This window comes from Homo sapiens, chromosome 7, assembly GCF_000001405.40.
Source record: "Homo sapiens chromosome 7, GRCh38.p14 Primary Assembly".
Lineage (NCBI taxonomy): Eukaryota > Metazoa > Chordata > Mammalia > Primates > Hominidae > Homo > Homo sapiens.
Window position 1 is genome coordinate 2785924 of NC_000007.14, and position 25076 is coordinate 2810999.

Genomic DNA, 25076 nt, shown 5'->3' on the forward strand with positions numbered 1-25076 from the left:
AGGTGTGGTGGCGGACGCCTGTAATCCCAGCTACTCGGGAGGCTGAGGCAGGACAATCGCTTGAACCCAGGAGGTGAAGGTTGCAGTGAGCTGAGATCGCACCACTGCACTCCAGCCTGGGTGACACAGCGAGATTCCGTTTAAAAAGAAGGTACACTGGAAAGGGGCGGCATGAGGGAGGCCATGGTGGGAGATGGTTCTGTATTTCGACTGTGGTGTTACACATGTAATACAGTGACACAGTACTACATGCACACGCTCACCAATGCCAGTCTCCTGGTTTTCATCCCGTGCTATAATCCTGTAAGATGTCATCATTGGGGGGAGACCAGGTGACACACACAAGGACTATCTGTGTAACTTCCTGTGAATCTGTAATTAGTTCAAAATGAAAAATTGAAAAAAAGAAAAGGGAGTTGGAAAAAACGGGCGCCTGGCGATAAGACTGGTACGAATCAAAAGATGCTTATTCCCAAAGAAAAATAAAGCAGCAAAGAATGTCAATAGCCAACTAAGAAGAGAATAAATGTAAATGGCCAATAAACATATGAAAAGAACCAATGATTATGAAAAGTTCGACTTACCAAGCTGGCAAAACTTACAGAAAACTAAACGTATAAACATATTATATCTCTGTCTGTCTGTCTATCTATGGAAGACTAAGCATATAGAAGTCTAAAGCCATATAGCTGAGGTATGGGGAAAATCCTCTCATGCACCTGGTAGGGGCTGGTGCGATTTGCTGACTTTAGTTTTCACTAATTAAACACTAATCGAATGCTTGAGAAGTCAGCTAGTCCGTGACCAGCACAGACCGGGACTGATGCTGTCCCTGGGGCAGGTGTCTCTGAGCTGCTATAACCTCTCCCTGCCCCATTCAAGATGGCGACTCTGGGCATCCCCAACCCACCATGCCCATCTCGAGACCTGAAGGAACGATGGGTGATGGCCTTCATGGGGAGACTGGGGACTCTGGGTCTGAAACATGTCTCCTGGCAGAGAGCCAAGCCCCCGGCAAGGAAGACACCAGATGCCACTGTGAGTGACACCATGAACACGGGGTTCAGCTCTGTCTGCTCTGCCCTCCAGGGGCAGGGTCCAAACACACAGAGGCAGCCTGGGCGTACTCACAAAGACAAGCGGTGGGCTCCCCAGTAAGCACCCCAAATCCACAGACAGAACACAACAACCCTGGGGCTCGCTCTTCCTCAGGGCGGACACACCAGCAATCCTGAAGCTGTGTGAGCAATAGGCGAGGTGGCCTGTGAATCCCTCCCGGTTCTAGGGTGTCTGGAAACTGATGGCAGCTCACCGCCTCCGTCACCGTCACCTACATTACTTCAAGAGCCTCCATGGGACCCTCACTTTTATTATCAACATGGCTACCAACGCAATCCTATTTAAGTGTCAGTCAAACCACAGCACGCCTCTGACCAATTCCTAAGTCCTTCCGGCAGCCCTCAGGCGCCCCTCCACAGGCACCACGAGCTGTCGCCTGTCACCCACCGCTCTGGCCCACCTCCCGTCAGCCTCCCTGCTGCACTCTGGAGCACGAAGCCTGCTCCCGCCTAGGGGCCTCTGCGCTTGCCATTCTTCCAGCTACAACACTCTTCTCCCTTCCCCCAGGCACCCACCATCTTCTGAGCTTTCCGGGAAACGCCACTCTGGGAAGCTACGTTGGTGAGAGCTAAAGCCAAGACACAGAGGCTTAAACAAGATAGGCTGAAGGCCGCTTCCGTTGTGGGTCCACGCTGACTGCTCAGATTCTTGACACTGGCCAGGCATCGGGAAGGGGGAGAGGCCGGGGGTAAGTGTCATTTCGCCCCTACAGCAAGGCCCAGCACTCAGTCCCACGGCTATGCTAAACCACAAGAAGGCAGAAAATGTAGTCCAGATTTGTGGTCATCTTCTCAACTCTGTTACCACGGCAGAGAGAAAACAAATGCCAGGGCCGGGCACCATGGCTCACGCCTGGAATCCCAGAGCTTTGGAAGCCAAGGCAGGAGGATCACCTGAGGTCAAGAGTTGGAGACCAGCATGGCCAATGTAGTGAAACCCTATCTCTACTAAAAATACAAAAAATTAGCCGGGCATGGTGGCAGGCGCCTGTAATCCCAGCTGCTCGTGGGAGGCTGAGGGAGAATCGCTTGAACCCAGGAGGCAGAGGTTGCAGTGAGCTGAGATTGTGCCACTGCACTCCAGCCTGGGCAACAGGGCGAGACTGTCTCCAAAAAAAAAAACAAATGCCAGCAAAACCAGAGAGCCAAGAATATGTGGAAGCTGCTCCCATGGCCACCCCATGGATCCATCCAGGCTCCCCCAGGCTGCTCAACAGCTCCTCCCCGGGACAGTTTGCTGGCTGTGAGTCCACGCCGCACAGCCTGCCTTGTCGCTGTGGCCAGGTAACTGTGTTCCCGTTCAGGAGACTTCTGAGGATGTGTTGGACGGCACGTCTAGGAAGTCACTCTAAAAGAAGAGGGGAGCTCTCCCTCCCCACCCTCCTCTGGCTCATATGCAGCTGAGGACAGGAGCGCACACTCTGGACCGAGCAAGAAAAGACACAACTTATATTCACAACTTAGTTACTACATGTAATTGACTGGCCACAATTTCAAAAGTAAGTCATGAAAAACAATAAGTAGTTCCACTTATTCAGGCAATTCTGTACCTAAAGATGCTACCGGCCTGCTCACAGGCCATGTTTGGAGGAAAGTTAGATAGTGAGGATATTAACTAGGTAGGAAGCAAAGAGCTGTGCAGCCAGGAAAGAAGCAGATGGGGTGATGAACAGTAGGACATGAGGGTAAGGATCAAGACTACCTCTGCCCTGCTATGACCACACTGCCTCTCTATGGAGCCCAGGAGAGCTCAGCCGGCCTTGCCCCATCTTACCTCCCCTTTTTTTTTCTGACAGGGTCTTGTTGCACACACACGTTGCACAGGCTGGAGTGCAGTGGCGTGATCTCTGCTCACTGCAACCTCCATCCCTGGGCTCAAGCGATTCTCCTGCCTCAGCCTCCAGAGTAGCTGGGATTACAGGCGCCCCACCACCATGCATGGCTAATTTTTGTATTTTTAGTAGAGGCGGGGTTTTGCCATGTTGGCCAGGGTGGTCTTGAACTGACCTCAAGTGATCCACCTGCCTTGGCCTCCCAAAGTGCTCCCGAAGTACAGGCGTGAGCCACCGTGCCCGGACCCCTTCAGGCATCTTTTTTTTTTTTTTTTTTTTTGAGACGGAGTCTCGCTCTGTCGCCCAGGCTGGAGTGCAGTGGCGGGATCTCGGCTCACTGCAAGCTCCGCCTCCCGGGTTCACGCCATTCTCCTGCCTCAGCCTCCCAAGTAGCTGGGACTACAGGCGCCCGCCACTACGCCCGGCTAATTTTTTGTATTTTTAGTAGAGACGGGGTTTCACCGTTTTAGCCGGGATGGTCTCGATCTCCTGACCTCGTGATCCGCCCGCCTCGGCCTCCCAAAGTGCTGGGATTACAGGCGTGAGCCACCGCGCCCGGCCCCTTCAGGCATCTTTTACATGAGTCACAGTGATTTCTGGAAAAACAGCAACTCAGATCTGTGATTTACTGCTCTGACACCTCAGTGGTGCCTCACTACTCCCCATAGGTGAGTTCAAACTGCTTGGTACATGTGGCCGCAGAGAACGCTGTGACCTCTGAGACCTGCCTGCACCCACCTTACAGCACACAGACCGGGTGGCAACATCCCACCCACTGCTCCAGTTAGGCGGCCCCTACTTCTCCAGTGGTGAGGACAGGGATCCAGAGTTCATCCATGCCTAAACCAACCACGCACAGCATCTCCCTGGCCATGTGCCAGGTCCCCTCCTTGCTCCTGGTGGTGATGTGTGTGTGTGAGGCCTCATTCTGCTGCCATCATTTTGCAGCCACAGAGGAAGCCAGGCCAAAAAGGAACCAGCACAGAGAAGCCCAGGAAAGCCCAGGAAAGGGCAGAGAAATAGCTCACAGTGCACATAAAGCTACCGCCTGTGTCAGTTTTTGGCTCACAAAGCGCCTCTGGTTAAGCCAGTTTGAGCTGGGGTTTCTGTGCTTGCATCCACGTGCATGCATACTCTTCTTGCCTAAAGCCTGCTCAACTCTGCAGGGCAGCCTCTGGCTGAGCAAGCTTCTGCCCTGCCGGCTGCTTTCCCAGTCCCTGCCTGTGTCTGCTCCCTCTGCCACCTCACTCCGCACTGTCTCCTGGGTCATTCTACCTGCCTTTAGAAAAGTCTCCTCCAAAGCACCTCTGACCTCCTCCTGCCGGATAGAATTGTCTGCTTTTTTCCTTTATGCTTAACATAGCCTGATTATTTTTCAATTACATATTTTTTGAGACAGGGTCTCGCTTTGTTGCCCAGGCTGCAATCAGTGCAGTGGCGCGATCTCAGCTCACTGTAGCCTGGAACTCCTGGGCTCAAGTGAACCTCCTACCTCAGCCACCGAATAGCTGGAACTACAGGCGCGCAACACCTTGTCTAACCTCAATTATATTTCTTACCACATTTATAACAATTATTTGCTTGCATGTCTGTCTGTCCTACCGGCTATGTGAGGAAATGAGACCTGACTTCAGCACAGGGCCTGGCACACAGAAAGGACTCACTGAAAGAATACCCTTCCGTGGCACAGAAGGAGGACTATGACATACAAATCCAGGTCACATTCAGGTCAGGATCCACACACCAAAGACACTGATATATCTATATCATACCATTCTAATTAACTAGATCCTAAAATTCAAAGGTACACCAAGGCTGGGCCTGGTGGTATGCACCTGTAATCCCAGCACTTTGGAAGCCCAAGGCAGGAGGATTGCTAGAGCCCAGGAGTTTGAGACTAGCCTGGGCAACATAGTAAGACCTCAATGCTATGAAAAAGAAAAAGTAAAAATTAGCCAGGTGTGGTGGCACATGCCTGTGATCCCAACTACTCAGTAGGCTGAGGTGGGTGGTTTGCCTGAGCCCAGGAGATCCAGGCTGCAGTGAGCTATGACCACACTAGTGTACTCCGGCCTGGAAGGCAGAGCAAGATTGTCCCTTTAAAAAAAAAAAAAAAAGGTAAAGAAATAAATGGTATACTCAAAAGTAGATAATTCATCCACATTTGTAGTATGTAGGCAATATCATCCACATACTATATTATAAGCACATTAGTTAATGAGCAAGCTATATTTAAAAATGCTAAATTTTATTTTATTAAAAAAGAGGACAGACAAGAAGATAATATTTATATTAGTTATACCGATGACCAAAGTCTTTCTGTTGAGCATCCTGCTCTGTCTTACTTAACTGTGTTTTGGAAGATAAGGTCTAACATGGCGAGATCATCTTCCTTTTAACTGAGCCACAGAAGTGATGCTCATGGGGTGTCTGCTGTCTGTGACCAGCAGTGGACAGCAATGGCCAGGCATGGCAAGGGGCCAGTGGGGAAGGCGGCCAGGCTGCCTCCCCTATGGAAAGGGAAGATTTCCATCCCCCACCCCGGCCCACCCTGCTCCTCTCAGAGGAGAAAGGGTCGTCACAAGGTAATCACCAGACACAGCCTTTTTTCCTCCTCTTTTTGTTTCTATCTCTGACTGGAATGGCAGGAAAAAGCAAGACGGCAGAGGGAACAGGGAGGCGCCTAGTACCTGGCTGACAGCAATTCTCAAAGCAGCTGCAGCTCTTCACAGGGACTGTCAAATGCTGTCAGCTGGGGAAGAAAGACAAGCAAAAAACAAGGTGATGAAGCATTGCCCTAGAAAAGCTTTGACACTCAGGAAAAGATTGGAAGAGAAACAAGGGTCTACTGCAGGGGTGGGGGAGGGAGCCCTGGTAACGGTGACTTCAGATGGGTATGGTCTTTCAGTTTTGCTGTAATTGTGTATTTTGACAACAACGACTATTAGGGTCCTACTATCTAGCTATTTTAATAAAATGCTCCATCATTTTTTTTGAAGAATAAAAAGAAGGGCAAATGTATAAAGTATAGGAATAACAGTCATGCACCCACCACCCAATAAACAAGAATTTCACATCATCATCTCTGCATCTGATTATTACAGACTTTACAAATGCATCACTGACTACAACAGTATATTTTCTGTATCTTCACAAAGTCTCATGGTCTGAAGCATAAGATCGAACCAAAGGGACGACTACTGACCCACCTGTGGCCACCTTACCCTAATCACCCGCCAAGTGCACGTCTAGATTAAAAGCTCACTCGCTGGAGACAGGCTCATGTTTGGTCTTCTTCACTGCTATATCCCCAGCATGTAGCACCGGGTCTCACACAGTAGGTGATCCATGAATGCAGAATGAATGAATGAATGAGTGAAGAAGGGGAGAAACAAGCAGACTGGGCTTTGAGGCCCAAATTTCTCACAGTGATTACCAAGATGATGTGGCCTCAGGCACAGCATAACTGGTACGGGCTTACTTCCATGTCGTGACAATACAAGGGCTTGACTTCCTAAATTGGGAGGTCCCTTCCAGCACTGACACCCTGCACTGACGGAACAGGGCAAAGACAGAAGCCTGTCAAAGCTGCTGCACCATGCCGAATCCCAGACAGAAGCCTCACTCAGTACGATCAGCCCCAGACACTTCTGCTTCCTTCTTTGGAAAATCCTCAATTTCCATCCAAGTTCTAAATGAATGAGAATCTTCTTTCCCAGACTCTGTGAGTGTATGGGGAAAAGGTGTAAACCTCAATTTCACATTGAGATACTGACATGTATTTCCCAATTGTTTCTTCCAGCCCTGCTCTTTAGGAGATTAAAATTTCCTTTCTACCGCAACCACATCTTCCACTCTCTTTTGATTCTTTTACCTTAACTGTTAAAGTTAACTTGAGAAGGAATGTGCAGATGGAAAGGGGCTAGTAAAAACGTCATCCTTAAGATGCCCTGGAGGACATTAACATTTACAGGCAAAAGCCTGAGGAGAAACAGGCTATTTGCAGGGTCTCAATGTATCTCCCTAAGATATGTGTTAACAACACAGAGAAAATACTGACTTCCCAGTGGAGAAAGGTGGCCAACAGTGCCTCAACCAAGCAACCCAGGCTTGCATCACCAGCCACTGGACAATATCACGCACTTCCTGATCAGATGATCTGAGCAGGGCTCAACGGCACGCCTGCGGTTTCTGTGCCAAAAAAATGCATCCCCTCATCCTGATGACGAGAAAATACCAGACAAACCCAAACAGGAAGATTCTACACAATACCTGGCCAGTGCTCTGGACATGTCAAGGTCATGAAAGGCAAGGAAAGATCAAGGAGCTATCATGGACTGCAAGAGACCAAGGGGACACAATGACTAAACACAATGGGGGATTCCAGGCCAGGATCCAGCAGACAGGAGCGCGAGAGGAAGCAGCGGACAGGACGCGAGAGGAAGCAGCGGACAGGACGCGAGAGGAAGCAGCGGACAGGAGCGCAAGAGGAAAGGTGGGTCACATTCAGACAAGGTCTACAGTTAATTGATGCTTTCATACCGATGTCAACTTCTTAGTTTTAATAGTTGTATAGTGGTTAAGATGTTAACATTAGGGGGACTTGGGAGAAGAATATAAGGAAATTGAACTGAGGGGACTATTAGCAGACTATATAGCACCTCTCAGATGATTGAGAAAAATAAAAATTACTCTGCAGGAAAAGGATGGGTAAAAGATATGAATAGGGTGGGGCATGGTGGCTCACACCTGAAATCCCAGCACTTTGGGAGGCCGAGGCGGGTGGATCACCTGAGGCCAGGAGTTCGAGACCAGCCTGGCCAACATGGTAAAACTCCATCTCCACTAAAAAATATAAAAATTAGCTGGTGTGGTGGTGGGTGCCTACAGTCTCTGCTACTCGGGAGGCTGAGGTGGGAGAATCACTTGAATCCAGAGGTGGAGGTTGCAGTGAGCTGAGATGGCGCCACTGCACTCCAGGCTGGGCAACAGCGCGAGACTCCATCTCAAAAAAAAAAAAAAAAAGGAAAAAAAAAGACGTTTCCAATAGCAAAATATGAAAAACAGTTCAAAAGTACCTCAATGAAAGAAGGAATGGATCCTAGTATCTTTCCACAGTGGAGCATCAGACAGCAGTGAAAAGGGAAGAACCGCTGCTATGTGCCTCGCCTGATGAAATTCCAACATGTGGAGTGAAAAAGGCAAGTCACAGAAGCATATATACTATACACTAAGAAATGACTTATATGAAGGTTAAGAATCAGTAAAACTCAAGACTGTCGTGTTTACAAATAATAAATGGGTATTATGGCAAAATCATAAGAACGGCAAAGGATTCATGACTTCAACTTGACTCTGGGTGCTAAGGGGGCAAACGGCTGTGAGAGTGAGAGGCATTTCTGGATACCCTGGGTGTGTATTAATATCAGCTGTGCACATTTATGCTGGTTATCAGAAAAATTGTACATTTTACTTTATATACGGTTAATTTTGAAAGGTAGAAAAAAACAAAAAGCAAACAGGCAAAACCCCCCAGATTTTCTGGTTATAGATTCAGACCCCAAATGAATCTAAATAACTGGGCTTTGTGAAGTTTTTAGACCTTAAAACGAAAGGAACAAATCTGAAGGGAACAACTGGGAGGAGTTGGATTTGCTTCCGAGGCGCTGATCTGAAGGCGTTCGTGAGTTGCCCATACCCACAGGTCCAAAGTGGGAAGCTGTTGTGGGGGGTGTTATTTCCTACTATGAACAAGATCTCTAAAAAAAACTAAATTTCTCGGGTTGTGCCAATGCTGATGATTCTAAGAACCCTCCGTATTCCCAGAAGAAAGCTATTGATCTTACCTGAGTGGCTCTTGCTCCTTCCCCTCTTGAGCCTTTTATATAGCATCTGCCTCCATCCCGTGTTTTGGTTGTTGATCATTACAACTTACGGTGATTTAGAGCTTGCTTGGACTGTTACACAGTTTTTAAGGAAATTCAACTAACGGTCCAAAATAGTCATGTAAAAAACACACTATCAGGTGCCCAGCAAGAAGGCCTACTCACTCACCAGCTGAAACTCGCTTCTCCGGCTGAAAGCCTCCCTGATGCCAGAATCCCTCCAGAGTGCGCTCAGGGCCGGGACGTACAGCTGGAAGGTGGCCGGCTCCACAGGCAGCCCCGCCTTGTTCTCGAAGGCCATCAGGAACATCCCATGCTTCTCATTTTCAGAATACTGCCAAGGAATGCCAAGCTTATCTCGTGCATCAACAAGAACCCTTGAGCCCTAGAAAATAAAAGAAAGAAGAGAGGATTTAATTGCATTCCAAAGACTAAACCACGCTAGAGAAGCTCAAAATGGGCATCCATTGTCATAACGCAGAAAACTCACAAGCTCTGAGCTGTGCAGCCTGAGTCTGTCTCTTGGTTTGTTTGTTGTGATGTGGAAAGTCTTAACTCTCAGCAGTATAACCTCACCAAGACAGACGCACATGGCCGAGAGCAGTGGCTCACACTGTGAGCCTCCCCTTTGGGAGGCCAAAGAGGGAGGACTGCTGGAACACAGGAGTCTGAGACCGGCCTGGGCAACAGAGCAAGACCCTGCTTCTACAAAAAATTAAATCAAATTAAAAACAGCTGGGCTTGGTGGTGGCACACCTGTAGTCTCAGCTGAGCGGGGAGGATTGCTTGAGCCCAGGAGGTCAAGGCTACGGTTATCTATGATTGCTGCACTATATTCTAGGCTGGGCAACAGAGCAAGACCCTGTTTCAAAAAAAAAAAAAGAAAAGAAAAAAGAAAAAAAAGAAAACAGATGTACATAAGCACCACAGAAAGAAGTCTGCTTTCTGCTATCATTCATTTGCAAAGCTACTGGAAAAAAGACAACTGGGCGGGGAGGAGGTGGCAACAATTTCAGAAAATTTCACTGGAAAATGAAGTGTATCAGTAAAAAAACAACTTTTTTTTTTTTTTTTTTCTTAGATGGAGTTTCACTCTTTTTGCCCTGGCCTGGAGTGCAATGGAGTGATCTCGGCTCACTGCAACCTCCGCCTCCCAGGTTCAAGCAATTCTCCTGCCTCAGCCTCCTAAGTAGCTAGGATTACAGGTACCTGCCACCAGGCCCGGCTAATTTTTTATTTTTAGCTGAGATTACAGACCACCACGGACTGCTAATTTTTGTATTTTTAGTAGAGAGGGGGGTTCCACCATGTTGTCCAGCCTGGTCTCGAACTCCTGACCTCAGCTGATCCGCCCGCCTCAGCCTCCCCGCCAAAAAAACAATGTTTTAACAACAACTATAGTAGCCTCCACCCCTTATCCGTGGCATAAGTTCCAAGACCCTCAGTGGATGTCTGAACGGTACCAAGCCCTACCTGTATTGTTTTTAAAGTTTAATTTAATTTATGAATTAGGCACAGTAAGAGATTAATAATAGCTAATAATAAAATACAACAATTATAACAATATACTGTCATGAAAGTTAAGTAAATATGGTCTCTCCTTCTGTCTCTCAAATGTGGTATCACCGTCCGCGCCTATTTTCCGTTGGCGGCTGGCTGTGGATAACGGGAGATGACTGTACTGCCAAGAGTACTACCAGCGCTACTATTGTCATCATCACTGAAATCTGGCAGCTCCTCTATTCCAAAAGATACAACTGCTTCTTCCAGCTTAAAACGGGTGGGAAAACATACAAATCCAGGCAGTCAGCAGTCATGAGACAGGAAAAGACTAAAATACGACAAGCCAAGTAGCCCGCCCACCAAAACGGGAGCCAGGGGATCATGTTCTAGATTTAACGTCACCATCGTTTGTGATGAGAAACTACTTTTCATTCTTTTGCTTGTTTCCTCATTGTTAAAGATAAAGTTAATGTTGTTCTGCCCCTTCTTACCTCATCAACAGGGTCAAAGGGATGAAGAAATAACTAACATAGTATTAGGGAATGCAGCCAGCCTTTGGAAAATATTCTCTCAGCAAAAACAGCACCCCCTGAGCAGTTAGGAGGTCTGTTCCACCATCCTTAGACTAATGTTTCGAAATCAGCAAGGCAGTGTTTATGAGAACTTCTGTGTTCTTCTGAGGGGCACACTGCATACTCTCTGGTATGGTCTACACTGGGGGTATACAGAGTGGTCAAGGGCCCTGAGAAGGCTATCAAGTACACATCTGTCCATCTGGAAAAGCCTTCTCATCTCAGAGCAATCTGAGGGACTCAGGCCAGCTGAGAGCAGCATCCCATCCTCCAGGACAGAGAAAACCAGGGTCACCTGCTCACTAGGCACTTATCTATGTTCCTTTTTTGGAGACTGGGTCTTGCTCTGTCACCCAGGCTGGAGTGCAGTGGCATGAACATGGCTCACTGCAATCTCGACCTTCTGGGCTCAAGTGATCCTTGCCCGTAGCCTCTCAAGGAGCTGGGACCACAGGCATGCCTCGTTACGCCCGGCTAATTTTAAGATTTTCGTAGAGTCAGGGTCTCACTATATTGCCCAGGCTAGTCTCAAACTCCTGAGCTCAACTGATCCTCTGGCCTTAGCCTTCCAAAGCACTAGGAATTACAGGTGTGAGCCACTGCATCCGGCCTTTTTTTTTTTTTCCTTTTTAAATAACAGTTTTACTGTGCTATAATCCATGTACCATATAACTCATCAATTTGAAGTGTACAACTTAATGATTTTTAGTTGGCACTTATCCTAAAAATCTTCATTTCTGACACCCAGGGCAGAGCAGATGAATCCATTCTGCCTCCTTCATCTCTCTCCTGCAGCATCAATTTGGTGCCTATAACTTCCACTTCTGCCTTGAACCACTGAGTCAGACGTAATGATGACCAAAGAGTAGTTGAAAGTCTCCTCCAGACCCAGCTGACCAGGACGGTCTGGTTAGAGATGCTCCCTGATTTTCCCCTCAGGACCTTGTCTGTCTGCCGTTGGAGACCATGCCTAGTTCTACCAATCCACAAACATTTGTTCAGTGTGTTTGTTTGTGGGGGAAACAAACTTTAAGAAGCAGTATCTGACCCCCAGAAACTCAGAGTCTGGCTAGAAAGACAAATGTATGGATAAAAAAAATACTTACCACCCACTCATGATTTTAAAAAACCTTTGCAAACTAGGAACAGAGAAATGCTTCAACTTGATAAAGAACACTGACAAAAAAACATACAGCTAACCTCATAATTAATGTGAAAGACTGAATGCTTTCCCTCCAACACTAGGAAAAGACAAAGATGCCTACTTCTGCTACTGCTATTCAACATGGTTCTGGAAGTTCTAGCCAGTGCGACAAGGTAGGAAAATGAAATAAAAGATCACACAGCTCAGGAAAAGCAGGGGGGAAAACAAATAGATTAGACACACAAAAAAAGAAAACACACAACTAAACCCATTTGCAGATAAAAAGATGATCTATGTTGAAAATCCCAAAGTAATCTACCAAAAAAACTCCTAGAATAAACAAATGAATCCAGAATAGTTGCAGGATATAATGTCAACACACGAAATTCAATTGTCTTTCTATATACTAGCAATGAACATGTGGAAAGTGAAATGAAAGATGTACTACTACTAACTATCACTAAAAAAACGAAACAGGTATAAATCTAACAAAATATGTGTAGGACTTATGTGCTGAAAACTGCAAAATGTTGAGGAAAGAAATTTTCAAAATCTAATAGATATACCACGGTCACGAATTAGAAGATTCAACACGGTACCAATATCCTTAAATTAATAAACAGGTTTAGCACAATTTCCATAAAATCCCAGCAGGATCTTTTGTAGATATAAATATGATTATTTGAAAATTTATATGAAAAAGCATTAAATTAGCTAAAGCAACTTTGAAAAAGAAAAGTGGGAACAATCAGTCTATCTGATTTTAAGACTTATTATATAGCTATGATAATCAAGACTGTGTGGTATTGGTGAGGTGACAGACCCACAGATCAATGGAACATAACAGAGAACCCAGGGATAGCCCCTGATACAGCTAGGTAATTTTTGTAAAAGTGCAAAAGCAATTAAAAAGAGGAAGCCTGGTCTTTTCAACAAACGCTGTTGGAGGAAGTGGACTTCCACAGGTAAAGAAAATTGGGGGGAGCGGGGGAGGGGGTGGGGAAGAACCTTGACCTAAACCTCACAGCTTATACAAAATCAAATCAAAATGTAGAACTATATATAACATAGGAGAATATCTTCAGGATGTAGGGTGTGCTCAAAGTTCTTAGATGTGACTCCAAATACATGATTCACACGAGAAAAATTATCAATAAATTGAACTTGATGAAAACGAAAATATTTTGCTCCGCCAAAGACCCTCTTAAGAGGCTGAAAAGAAGCTATGAACTGGGAGAAAATATTTGCCAACCACACATCTGCCATATCTGACAAAGGACTCATTTAGAATATACAAGGACATTCAAAACTCAACAGTTAGGCCAGGCACAGTAGCTCACGCCTGTAATCCCAACACTTTGTGAGGCTGAGGGGAGAGGATCACTTGGGGCCAGAAGTTCGAGACCAGCCTGGGCAACATAGTGAGACCTCGTCTCTACAAAAATATCAAACAAATTAGGCAGGCATGGTGGCACACGCTGATAGTTCCAGCTACTCAGGAGGCTGAGGCATGAAGATAGCTTGAGCCCAAGAGTTTGAGGTTACAGTGAGCTATGACAGTGCCACTGCACTCCAGCCTGGGTGACAGAGCAAGATCCTGAGATACATACATACATACTCAACAGTTTAAAAAGCAAACAAATCCAGTTAGAAAATGGGCAAAATTCAGCAGGTCACAGAATGAAATGAAGAGAAAAAAAAAATTTTTTAAAGAAAATGGGCAAGACATGATGAGATATTTCACTGGAGAACATATATAGGCAGCAAATACACAAGTGAAAAAGATGTTCAAGATCACCAGCCATCAGGAAAAAGCAGATCGAGACCTCAGTAAGATACTGCTGTACACCTGTTAAAGCAGCTAAAAAACCAACCACCAAACCAAGACAACCAGCGGCAACACCAAGCGGAGGTGAGGAGGCGGAGACCCCGGACCTCTCATACACTGCTAGTGGGAATGTCAAATGGCACAAACTAGAAAACAGTTGGGTGGATTTATAACTACTAAAAATGCAACTCCCATACAGCCTAGCAGCTGTACTTGGGTATTTATCTCAGAAATTTGAAAGCTAAGTCCACACAAAACCCTGTAATGTTCACAGCAGCTCTGTTCATCATAGCCCCAAACTGGAAGCAAGCTGTGGTGCACCATACCATGGACCATTACCCAGCAACAAATGGGAGTTCACTACGGAAATGCAACAACTTGGATGAAGCTCTAGGATGTTATGTTAAACGAAAAGTCAGTCTCAAAAGATCACGCACTATGCGATTCTGTTTAATAACATTCTTGAGGTGACAAGATTACAGAGATGGACAAGAGATTCATGGTTGCCAGGGGTTAGTAATGGGAAAGACAGGGGGAGAAGTGACTAGAAAGGGGCAACACGAGGAGATCTTTGTGGTCTGGACTGTGGTGGTGGTTACAGAAACCTACACAGGTGAGGAAAGGGCGCACAACCACACACAGTGTCCCAAAGCCCGTCTCCTGACTTCAACAGCATACTGAAATTATGTCTGTCATAACCACTGGGAAAAACTGCCTGCCTCTCTGTACTATCTTTGCAACCTCCTGTGAACCTATACTTATTTCAAAATAAAAAGTTTTTAAAAAGTTAACTAGCGACCACGGCAATGTAAGTTCCAACGATGTGATGTGGAGAGGGAGGGTTAGCAGAGGCCGAAGGCAAAGAGATAGTAGGGAAGGGAGGCTTGCTAAAACCCTAACTGGAGGTGGGCCTCAGACGGAGCTTTCCGAAGGGTGGGTTCATCTGAGCGAGTGGCAGTGGTGGACTGGAATCTACCTAGAGGGAAAATGTGACTTGAATAAACTCTCCACTTTCCTTCCTCCCGGCTCCCCCACTGTGATTCCTCCTCCGGGTCCTCATCTCCCCACTTCCTTTGACTACACCACACCAAACTCTTGCCTTTCCAAAAGGACAAAACCAAAAAGGTTCAAGAACCCAAGGAAACAAAGGCAATTCCTCTTTTCCCCACTATGCACAACAAAAACTATCTCGGCACGGAGAAGGTAGCACACAGATTTCTCTGGCGAGGTCTCGGGCAAAGGGTCTCGGTGCCTTTGTACAAATCAGAAAAACGCTCTCCATCATCCAGGCAGATGCGGCCCAGCCTGGCAACAGTGGCTTGGATGGGGTTTCAGCCTCCATGCCCTCCCAATCAAGTCACCAACCCTCCCGCTATCCGGGAAGGCCCTGCTCGTCCAACTCAAATACAGAAATTGGGTCCGACCCACCAGGTATCTATTCAGGTGCTATTTTTACAAATGAAAAGTTTAGCTTCACAAGGAGTACAATCTCACTCAGAAGTTAAATCAATAACCCCTAGGAAGTTTCATTTTTATGTCAAAGACGAAGTCAGGGGGCCAGGTAGGACTTGGAAGGCCAAAGGTCACTTACGAAGACTGCAGGACTGCACACACCAGGCCTTCCCCAACTATCAGGGTGAACATAGGTTTGGCTTAAAAACACACACACGCAAAACTGGCCCATGCAACAGCAGTCTATTCCCACCGCACAATCCGCCCAAGCAGGCTGGAGCTGGTCCAAATGAACTGCACCCAACCACAAGAAAAGACTCCTCCTTTCCCTTTTTCAAAACACAAGAAAGGTGGCTAAACTACTGATGAGCTTTGAACAGTTAAGTAGTAGTTTTGTAAGCTTTGTAGTTACAGTCCATTTTCCCTTCCTTTGAAGGAAAAAAGGCATTAAAAAAAAAAGATGTCTCTCTTTTGCCCTTTTACATTTATTCTAGTCAAAAACTGCTCTCTGCCAACTTTGTTCTGAAAATCCACATCTGAGTTCCAGCGAAGTTTTCTACTTGGGGACATTTGGCTAAATTCTGAGTCCCCTTTTCTTCCTTTTTAGAGAGAGACGTAAGCTCTCTCTGGAGTTTAAAGCCTGTAACAATAATGTATTTACCGTACTTTTGCAGAACTGATAGTTACACTTTTACCATTGTTATATAGAATTGCTAAAGTCTTAAAAGTAAAATACTAGTATAGGAGGCATATTATAATAAACCTCTTACTCCTGTCCTTTTCCAATGAAAGACCAATTTTCTAAAACACAAAAGCCAAGAAAATCCTAAAACTCACATACACTTAAAATAAATAAGAACGACAACTCATTCAAGTCTCTTTAATAGCTAAGAGAAAAATCCTTTTTTCAGTAATGGTATTACTGAAGTATTAATTGTTTGAATAACCATACATTTTATTTGGTTACCCAAATATAAACGGTTAAAGTCTCAAGCAGTTTGATGACTTCATCTCAATACAATGTCACACTTCAAACTGTTCAGACAGCATATTTTTAAGACAACTTATAAATCCAGCAACTTAAACTTCTAGTCAAAGTATAGATTCCCTCTCTGCTGGGGATGTAGATTTTTTTTGGGGGGGTGGGGGGTGGGGTTCAATTTTGCTGGATGAAGACCAAAAACTGCAAATCCTGTTATCTCATTTCAAAATAGATTATGTTAGTTTAGCCCCTAATCAAACCAAATCTTTTAAGATTAGTCATTCCTTAGTAAAATCTTCCCACAATAAATACCAAAGCTACGATAGACATAAAATGCTTTAAGATAATATGAGCCTTTTTCTACAAGATGAAACAGTTCCATTAAGACAAACTGAAGATTCTGGATGTTCACTCGGGCAACAGCATGTGGACTTGGAAAGCTCTGTTTTTTAAAAACCCACTCGGCTGAGTTGTTTGCCTTTGGCCACCATCCAAATAAAAGAAACGCTGCCAGAAGTGTAAACAGGATGCATTTCTTTACATTGATGAATCCAGCAAACAAAGACAGCGCCTCTTAGTTCCTCTCGAAAACTGAAGTGCAAGATACCTTTTAGTGTAAAGGTCAGCGAGAAACTGACGAAGGGAGGCAGTAAGCCGTCAAACCAGCCATCAGAGCCTCTGCCATTTCACAGCGCAGCCCTGGCCCCACCATAACTCCGCGGATTTGCCTTCCGCAACAAATGCACTGCCGTACGGGATCAGGCCTATTATTTCTCTAAGAAAGCCCCCTCTTGGCTCTGCCAGTGACTATACCGAGGGCTCACCTCAGGCAATGAAAAGTGGTGGGTAACGAATGGGGAAAACCCAAAAGGCGGTAAACTTGGCTCCTGCTATGGGAGAACTTTCAAAACAAGCGTAGCAGCAAGACAGAGCACGAGCAGATAAGCGACAGTCTCAGATGCAGAGTACAGAGGCCAGCCCCATAACTGGAAGGACAGGACCGTCGGAGGACAGCCAGAATCGCCACCGCTGGTGAGGCCTCGCTCACAGACAGGCTGTGGAGAGCTAAGAAGTCTGTGTGAGAAAGGGGACGATCGAGGGCTTTGGAAAAGGAGAATGGCAAGGTCTGAGGCTGCCTGCAGGTCCCGTGGCAGGTGGGACAGGAGGCAGGGAAGGAGCAGCTAAAGCAGGAGAGTGATCAGGAGCCCCCTAAGTGCTCTCACCCCAAGTGCTCTCAATAAAAGATGGAGAGATCCAAAACCAGGAATTCACCAAACCTGCAGAGCACGGAGAGCAGTGAGGGCCCTGTTGTGTAAGCACAATACCCACCAGTTCTCCCAAGTCAGGTCCACAGGAGGGGATGGCTTAGAAGGGGTGACATTTAGGTAGGTTTTCAACAAATTTAGTTCAGTTGGACAGTGGGAAATCCAAGCTAAGCTTCTCAAGAGGAGATGGAACTGCAGAGAAAACTCTGGGTTTAGGAATGGCATAGGAGAAGCAAATTATCATCATTAGCTTTTTTCAGCTGCCTTGAAAAGGTTTTCCTAAAAGTCCAAAACAAAACAAAACAAAACAAACAAACAAAAAAACAACTCCAAACCAATCCAGATTTCCCCAGATCTCCTGAACTGGAAAGTGAAAATCCAGGGCTCCATTTCAAAACTCACAAGCCAGCAGGCTGGAAACTCCTGGAATCATCTCCCCAACCCCCACCCGCCAGCCATGGCCATGGGCAGACCAACTTCTTCCTCTCCTGTTCTTCCAGGGGTCAGGATAAGTCTCGGAATCTCCCTTCACTAAAAATTTCACTACATGACAAACACTAGTACAAGGGGGAACGAAATCGTCCTCTTAAGTACAGAAAAGATCAGCAAAACTTGAGAACACAAACACACAAAATATCATTCTAAGGGGGAAAAGCTTGCACACACTATCAACAGGTAACAGCTTCATGTGCTAATTCAGTGTTTTCGAAATTCAAGTCAGGATCTGCATTGTGAAATCATTTAGTAGGCATTTTAAAAAGGAAAAGAATATACTGGTAACTAACTGAATAGACTGCAAATAATAAAGGTAAGTGTTTCAAAGAATTTGTTTTAGCAGAGACAGCTATATATAGACGGGTGTGTGTGTATGCGTAAACCCATAAACCCATAAACACACACGCGTGTACATACACCGGGTTCCTCTGGACTATGGTCTGAGTGCCACTGGGCCAGACTCTTGTAGATGAGCCTGCTACAAGGCTGGCTTTCCTTGGTCCCACCACTTCAAAGCCAATAGGACTGGGCTGAGTGTCAAAAGTCCAAACAGTAACAAGTTGGGTTTTGTGAAAAACTGATAAGAGTGCAAAGAAACTGTGTGAGGAGGTGTGAGAAAATGGTGAAATCTTTGTCCTCTGGGGGCAGTGTCACTAGGTTGGTTTTCATTAAACATATTCTTGGCCCATTCGTTGGGGCCATCTTGGATTGCATGGTGAGGTCTGGGAATCACAGAGCTACCACTCAACATTTTCTACCACTAAAGACGTTGAAGAGAGCTGGGCGTGATGGCTTAAGCCTGTAATCCTAGCGCTTTGGGAAGCCGAGGCGGGAGGATCTGTTGAGCCCAGGAGTTGGAGACCAGCCTGGACAACTTACCGAGACCCTATCTCTATTAAAATAAATTAAAAAAAAAAAGATATTGAAGAGGATACGCAGCTAATGTTCATTTTAGAAAGGCTGCTTTTGATTATCAAACATGATGTGTGCAGCGCATGGTGGTGGTGGCACCCCCAGGCAGTGTTCTTTAGAACCCTCCTCCTGATCCAACCTGGTCAAGCTGGGGCCTCAGCACACTGTGGTAAATAAAGGCCCAGAGCCTTTCCACAAAGCCTTTAAACACCGACCAAGGTGCCAAATAAATAAGCAGATGCAGACATGCATAAAATTCATGCCAGTCTATCAACCAAAAGGCTGCTTCAGAGAGGCCATAACAATCTGCGTTCATGGGACTAAGCGCCTGCCATGTGAACGACACTGTGTTAAGTACTCACTGTCCATTAGCTCATTTAGTCTTTATAAATAACTCTGCGAGGAATAGCATTATGCCCATTTTACAAATGAGAAAGCGGAAGCTCAAAATCACACAGTTATCAAGCCTGACCGATTTAGTTTAAGCTAGAGATTTTCTTTTTTTTTGTAGAGACAGGGTCACACTGTGTCCCCCAGGCTGGAGTGCAGTGGCGCAATCAAAGCTCACTGCAGCCTTGACCGCGCGGGCTCAAGCTAGAGATTTTTCAGCTCTGTTCTACACTGCTGTGAGTATCTGGAGAGATAAGGGAGCAGAGGAACAGGCAGGAGGCAGAAGATGCCTGGGCTGCCGCCTGCTCTCACGCAGCTTACAGCAGGCACGGAGACTAGAGCCAGAGCTGAGCTGACCTCTGAGGACCCAACACTTCTGAAATTCTCTAGAACATTTTTTAAAAATAGTAATTAAAATCTGGAAGTATGGGATATACTGTTAAGCCTGGCTACATTAGAAGACATTTTGTGCATTCAGACACTACTTGAGTCTAATATCTCCAGACACTGAAAACACTCACTCATCTACGCTATCTTGGCAGCCCAGCAAGAGACCATCTAATGGTGGCTCTGTCCCAGCCACGAGGGCCACCGAGCAGTGGACGTGCGGCCCAGCTGAACTGAGAGGTATTATAAATACATACTGGATCACAAAGAGTACAAAAAGAACACGTAAACTTCTTTTGTTTATACTGATTACATGTTGCAATTGTAATATTTTGGATATGTTGGATTCAATAAAATCTATTATTAAAATCATTTTTCTTTCGTTCTTTCTCCTTAATGTGGCTACTAGAAAATCTGAAGTACACACGTGCCTTACATTTGTGGCTCACATTCGATTTGCTATTGGACAGCATTGCTGTAGGATAACATATCTAAAAGAATTTGTCTTGGTCGGGGGCGGTGGCTCACGCCTGTAATCCCAGCACTTTGGGAAGCCAAGGCAGGCAGATCACCTGAGGTCAGGAGTTCGAGACCAGCCTGGCCAACATGGTGAAACCCTATCTCTACTAAAAACACAAAAATTAGTTGGGTGTGGGCACATGGTGGCAGGTGCCTGTAATCCCAGCTACTCGGGAGGCAGAGGTTGCAGTGAGCTGAGATTGCACCACTGCAGCACTCCAGCCTGGGGGATAGAGCGAGACTCTGTCTCAAAAAAAAAAAAAAAAAAAAAGAAAAAGAAAAAAGAAGAAAGAACTTGTCTTTTTCTGATTATAAAAGTGTATTTTTAGTGCAAAAAATAGAGGAAATATAGAAATACATAAAGAAGAAAATTAAATCCTTAAAAATATCACTATCTAGAAATAACTTATTAACATCTAGGAATGTTATCTGTCTTATTCTTTACAGAACATTTTGTAACACTTTAAAATTTTTCTAGCGATGTATCGTAAACACTTTCCTATGTCATTCAAGATTTCAAGATCTGTAATGGCTGCAGAGTAGTCCGACATGTGGGACATGCTAAGATTGAGGTAATCCCTATGGCTGGACATCGGAATTCTTTCCAGTGTATGGAAAGAATAAACAACGATGCAAGGAACTCCTTGATACATCCCTATTTTCACATATATGGCTATTTTCTTGTGACAAATTCCTAGATGTTGAATTATAAAACTGCTGGGTCAAAAAAGTATACACACATTTTTGAGGTTTTGATAAATATTACTAAACTGTTTTCCAGAAAGGTTCTGCCAATTTACACATTTATGTTTAATAACTTTTAATTTTCCTTTATTTTCCCCCAAATTGTTTTTTAGTTGATCTATTTGCTTCACGAAAATTGTCCTCCAATAATATCTAAGCAGTCATGACCTCAAACCACAGCTCAAAGAGAAATCAGGATAACTAGCAACTGAAAATGAGGAAAATTTAGTGTATGTATACTGACAACTGAAAATTAGAAAAAATGGAATAGACATTTGGCTTCTCTACTTCAAATAAGCTTTTATACTGATTTTTATACTTTATTTTCCTCTAAGTCCCATTATAATACAATAATAAGTAATAAAGTACCAATTAGTAATAAAAATGCTTAAATTTCACAAACATGTTTGAATTTCTAGTCTCTTGTTTCCAGTAAGAAAACTAGGCTCAGTCAACACTTCCAATAAAACGTTTCATGAAGGTATAAAGAACAATTTAAAACATTTAGCCTGAGTTCTTAGAAGTTTCAAAATCAAGAGAGCCTTGAATTTGATGGGAGATTTACTATTAATTACTGTCTCCATAAACAGAAATCTCTTTGAATTAATGAGCATTAAAATAAGGTATAAGAGAGAAAAAAAAAAAAACCTAGCCAGGATAACACAGCAGCTTGCTCACTGTTCTCATCCGTTGCCTCTAAGACTATCTGGAGGAAAGTTCAAACTTGCGATAAGACCAAATGGAAAAAAGCTGGAAGAAGTAAATTTAAGTAGTAAATTACTACTGCAGAAAATAAACTCAATGGTAACTTCAACAGCACCAAAAACGCACTTGGACATGGCAATAATTAAATATCAGCATCAGGCAGCCTCACTAAACAAGACGCTGCAGCGTTTCAAATTAAGGGGCCAACCTTAGGCACACACACGACCGAAGAGCAGCCGCTGAGCTCATGAAAAACCTGTTCGCGCAGAAACCGCTCTGTGCCCCGTGGAGGAGCTACGATGAATTATTAGGTGAAAGTACCACAAGCTCCGTGATCATTTTGGGCGCTTCCTCCACTTAGGACTCAGGCTGCTGCTTAATGAAGTCCTGCTCTGCAGGCATCCATCTTCTCTTCTATGGACTGCATGGGTAACTGTTTAGACAACTAAACGGAAAATCTTAATTTATGCTTCATTTGCAATTACAGAGTTGGCCTCTGCAAGTTTCAATATCTCTTTCGGGAATCTGTGAACATGTTTCCTTCTCACGCATACCCAACTCCCTCCTGTAAGCAGTGACCATCATGAGTAGTGCTACCCGACACCCACCTAGAGCAGCGCCTTCAGTGCTTACGGCCTGCACTTGGGTTAAGCCAGAGCTGGCCTACCCAGGCCCTGCTACCATGCTGCCTGAAAAGCTGCTTCTGCACCTTCTGCAGATCAGCAAGGGTGTGGGCCGAGCTGACTGTGGCCTTGGAGGCTGTCTGTCCCTGCAGGCTGGCCACTGGCTGTAGTAGGAGAGTGCCCAGGTGCTGTGGGTTACCCTGGACCATCCTGTGGGCCTGAATTTGGATGGGATGGAGAGGGACCTGGGCCGCACAGGAGGACCTCACTCCCCACAGAGCAGCAGCGGCCTGCAGCTAGGGGAGATGCACCATCCTGAGGTCTGGCCCAGCCTGTCAGCCAATGCCGTGGTTCTACCTTCCAGAGACAGCTACAATTTCCCTACTTCCTGCTGCTCCCATGGCTCTCACTTGGGTCCGGCCACCACCATCTCTCACCTGGATTATGGCAAGTCTTCTAATTGGCTGCTTTGTGTCCACACTTGTCCCCTTCAGTCTACTGTCAAAACCAGTGGTCAAGTTAGCCTGCTAAGCCTAGGTCAGCTCTTATCACCCGCTTTGTTCAAAACCCTACAAGGCTCCCATCTCATTCATGGCAAAAACTCAGGTCCTCAAAGAGGCACATCCTCACTTCTGCCTCAGGCCTTTGCACTTCTGGTTCCTGACAACTGAAACCCTTTGCCCCGGATAGCCGCACGGCTCACTTCCTCAATGCTCAGTGAGGACTGGGGCAGGGAAGCTTCTCAGGGTGGCCTGCCCTTGGCCATCTTATCCAAAACTGCACCCCAGGCCCATCCTTCCCACGCTCCATCCTCGCTTTACTTCCTTGACCACTTCCGGCTGGCTACCCGCCTTCAGAGTCCACTCAGCATCTCCTGTATGATTCTCTCCCCACCGAGCACAAGCCCCACAAGGACAGGGCTCTGCTCTGTTCACACCCGTGTCCCCAGGGCCGGCACAGAGCAGAGGCTCTACCTGTTGGCAGGATGAACTAAGGGACCCCAGGTCCTCATCCGCAAAGTAAGGGCAGCAGTCCTACCTCATACCTGCAGTGAGGAGCACTCAAGTAACAGGTGTTTTATATTAGATAGTCATTAGATCTGTCTTGTACCAAAGTTGATAAAAAATACACAAACCAAACATCATTAGCGTTTCAATGTATTTTTCATTGGAAATTCCACCCTATGATGACTCATTATTGACATTAATACATAAATATTGCCCCATACTTTATTTGAAAAAAAAATTAGTTGTACAATGGATCTGAAAATTCCTCCTAAAACTACCTCCTTTTCGTATGTCAAAGACAAAATTAAAAAGCCGGCTACTCTGGGTACACCGCCTTTGGGGTAGCCCTGCTCCCCAAGGAACAGTACAATAAAAATGAAAAAGCCTATTGACAGGAAAAGATCAGCCAAAAAGACAACAGCTTACTTTACTGTGGTGGATAAATTAAAACTGCAAGTGACTGATAGCGTTTAATAGAAGAAGCAATTTTCACACATCTGTAAATATGTAAATATTTATGTAAATGTAAATATTACTTAGTAATAAATTCATAGTAAAATTATGTAAGTATTGTTAGTAATAAATATTACTTTGTAATAAATTCTATGTAAATAGTATTTAGTAATAAATTCATAGTAAAAATTTCTATGATTAATACAATACAGATACTCCTTTAAAGGCATTCTGAATTCGGAACAGTCTTCTAGTATCATTACAATCACCTTCTTAGAGGGAAATGGTTTGACATTAGAAAGGGGTCAACCCCAGGAGGGGAGAGGATCGCTTAAGAAGTACGCAGCTGAATATTTCAGGTTCGCTGCATGTGTTAGTCTGGGCTGCTATAACAAAACCTCACAGGCGGGTGGCTTGAACAGCAGAGATTTCTTTCTCACAGTTCTGGAGGCTGGGACTCTAAGATGGAGACTGGTGTCTGGTGAGGGCCCACTTTCTGGCTCCTAGACGGTGATTTCTCACTGTGTCCTCAGATGGTGGAAGGGGTATACAAGCTCATTAAGGTCCCTTTTATAAGGACACTAATCACATTCATGAGGGCTCTGTCCTTGTGATCTCATCACTCCCCAAAGGCCCCACCCCCTAACACCAGCACCTTAAGGGTTAGGATTTCAACATAGGAATTTTGAGATGGACACATTCAGACCATAGCACTGCAAATGAGTAAAATAATAACAGTATTAGTAATACTGCTAACAAAAACCATGCTACAGCCTTTAGAAGGAACTTACTCCTTGGGTTTTGTCAATAATTTTTTTTTTACAGTTGGATTCCAAATGATGGACCTCACGGTCACTGGCAAGATAATGAGAAAAGTCCGGGCACAGTGGCTCACTTCTGTAATCCCAGCACTTTGGGAGGCTGAGGCGGGCAGATCACCTGAGGTCGAGACCAGCCTGGCCAACATGTTAAAGCCCTATCTATCTCTGCTAAAAACACAAAATTAGGTGGGTATGAGCATGGTGGCAGGTGCCTGTGATCCCAGCTACGTGGGAGGTTGAGGCAAGAGAATCACTTGAACCCAGGAGGCAAAGGTTGCCGTGAGCCATGATTACGCCATTGCATTCCAGCCTGGGTGACAAGAGTGAAACTCTGTCTTAAAAAAGAAAGAAAGAAAGAAAGAAAAAAACAAAAAGATAATGAGATAACATGTGGAAGGAGGCCCTGGAGCGCTCTCATTCAACAGGGACACCCAGGCCC

At 45.3% G+C, this 25076-nt stretch overlaps 1 protein-coding gene across 3 annotated transcripts in view, besides 2 other annotated features; it reads right to left on the reverse strand.

Moving 5' to 3' along the window:
- GNA12 (G protein subunit alpha 12) overlaps positions 1-25076 on the reverse strand; it is a 116204-nt gene that overhangs the window by 57819 nt on the left and 33309 nt on the right. For all 3 annotated transcript variants that reach the window (NM_001293092.2, NM_007353.3, NM_001282441.2), the window contains one exon: positions 9005-9220. In NM_001293092.2, the coding sequence (NP_001280021.1) occupies positions 9005-9220 (216 nt within the window). The remainder of the gene's footprint in view (positions 1-9004; positions 9221-25076) is intronic.
- Positions 21995-22852: an enhancer, noted in NCBI's record as "H3K27ac-H3K4me1 hESC enhancer chr7:2847552-2848409 (GRCh37/hg19 assembly coordinates)". NCBI's record gives its function as "activates a minimal SCP1, AML or CMV promoter by ChIP-STARR-seq in primed H9 embryonic stem cells {active_cell/tissue: H9 hESC(primed)}" and the evidence as "EXISTENCE:reporter gene assay evidence [ECO:0000049][PMID:30033119]".
- Positions 22853-23709: an enhancer, noted in NCBI's record as "H3K27ac-H3K4me1 hESC enhancer chr7:2848410-2849266 (GRCh37/hg19 assembly coordinates)". NCBI's record gives its function as "activates a minimal SCP1, AML or CMV promoter by ChIP-STARR-seq in primed H9 embryonic stem cells {active_cell/tissue: H9 hESC(primed)}" and the evidence as "EXISTENCE:reporter gene assay evidence [ECO:0000049][PMID:30033119]".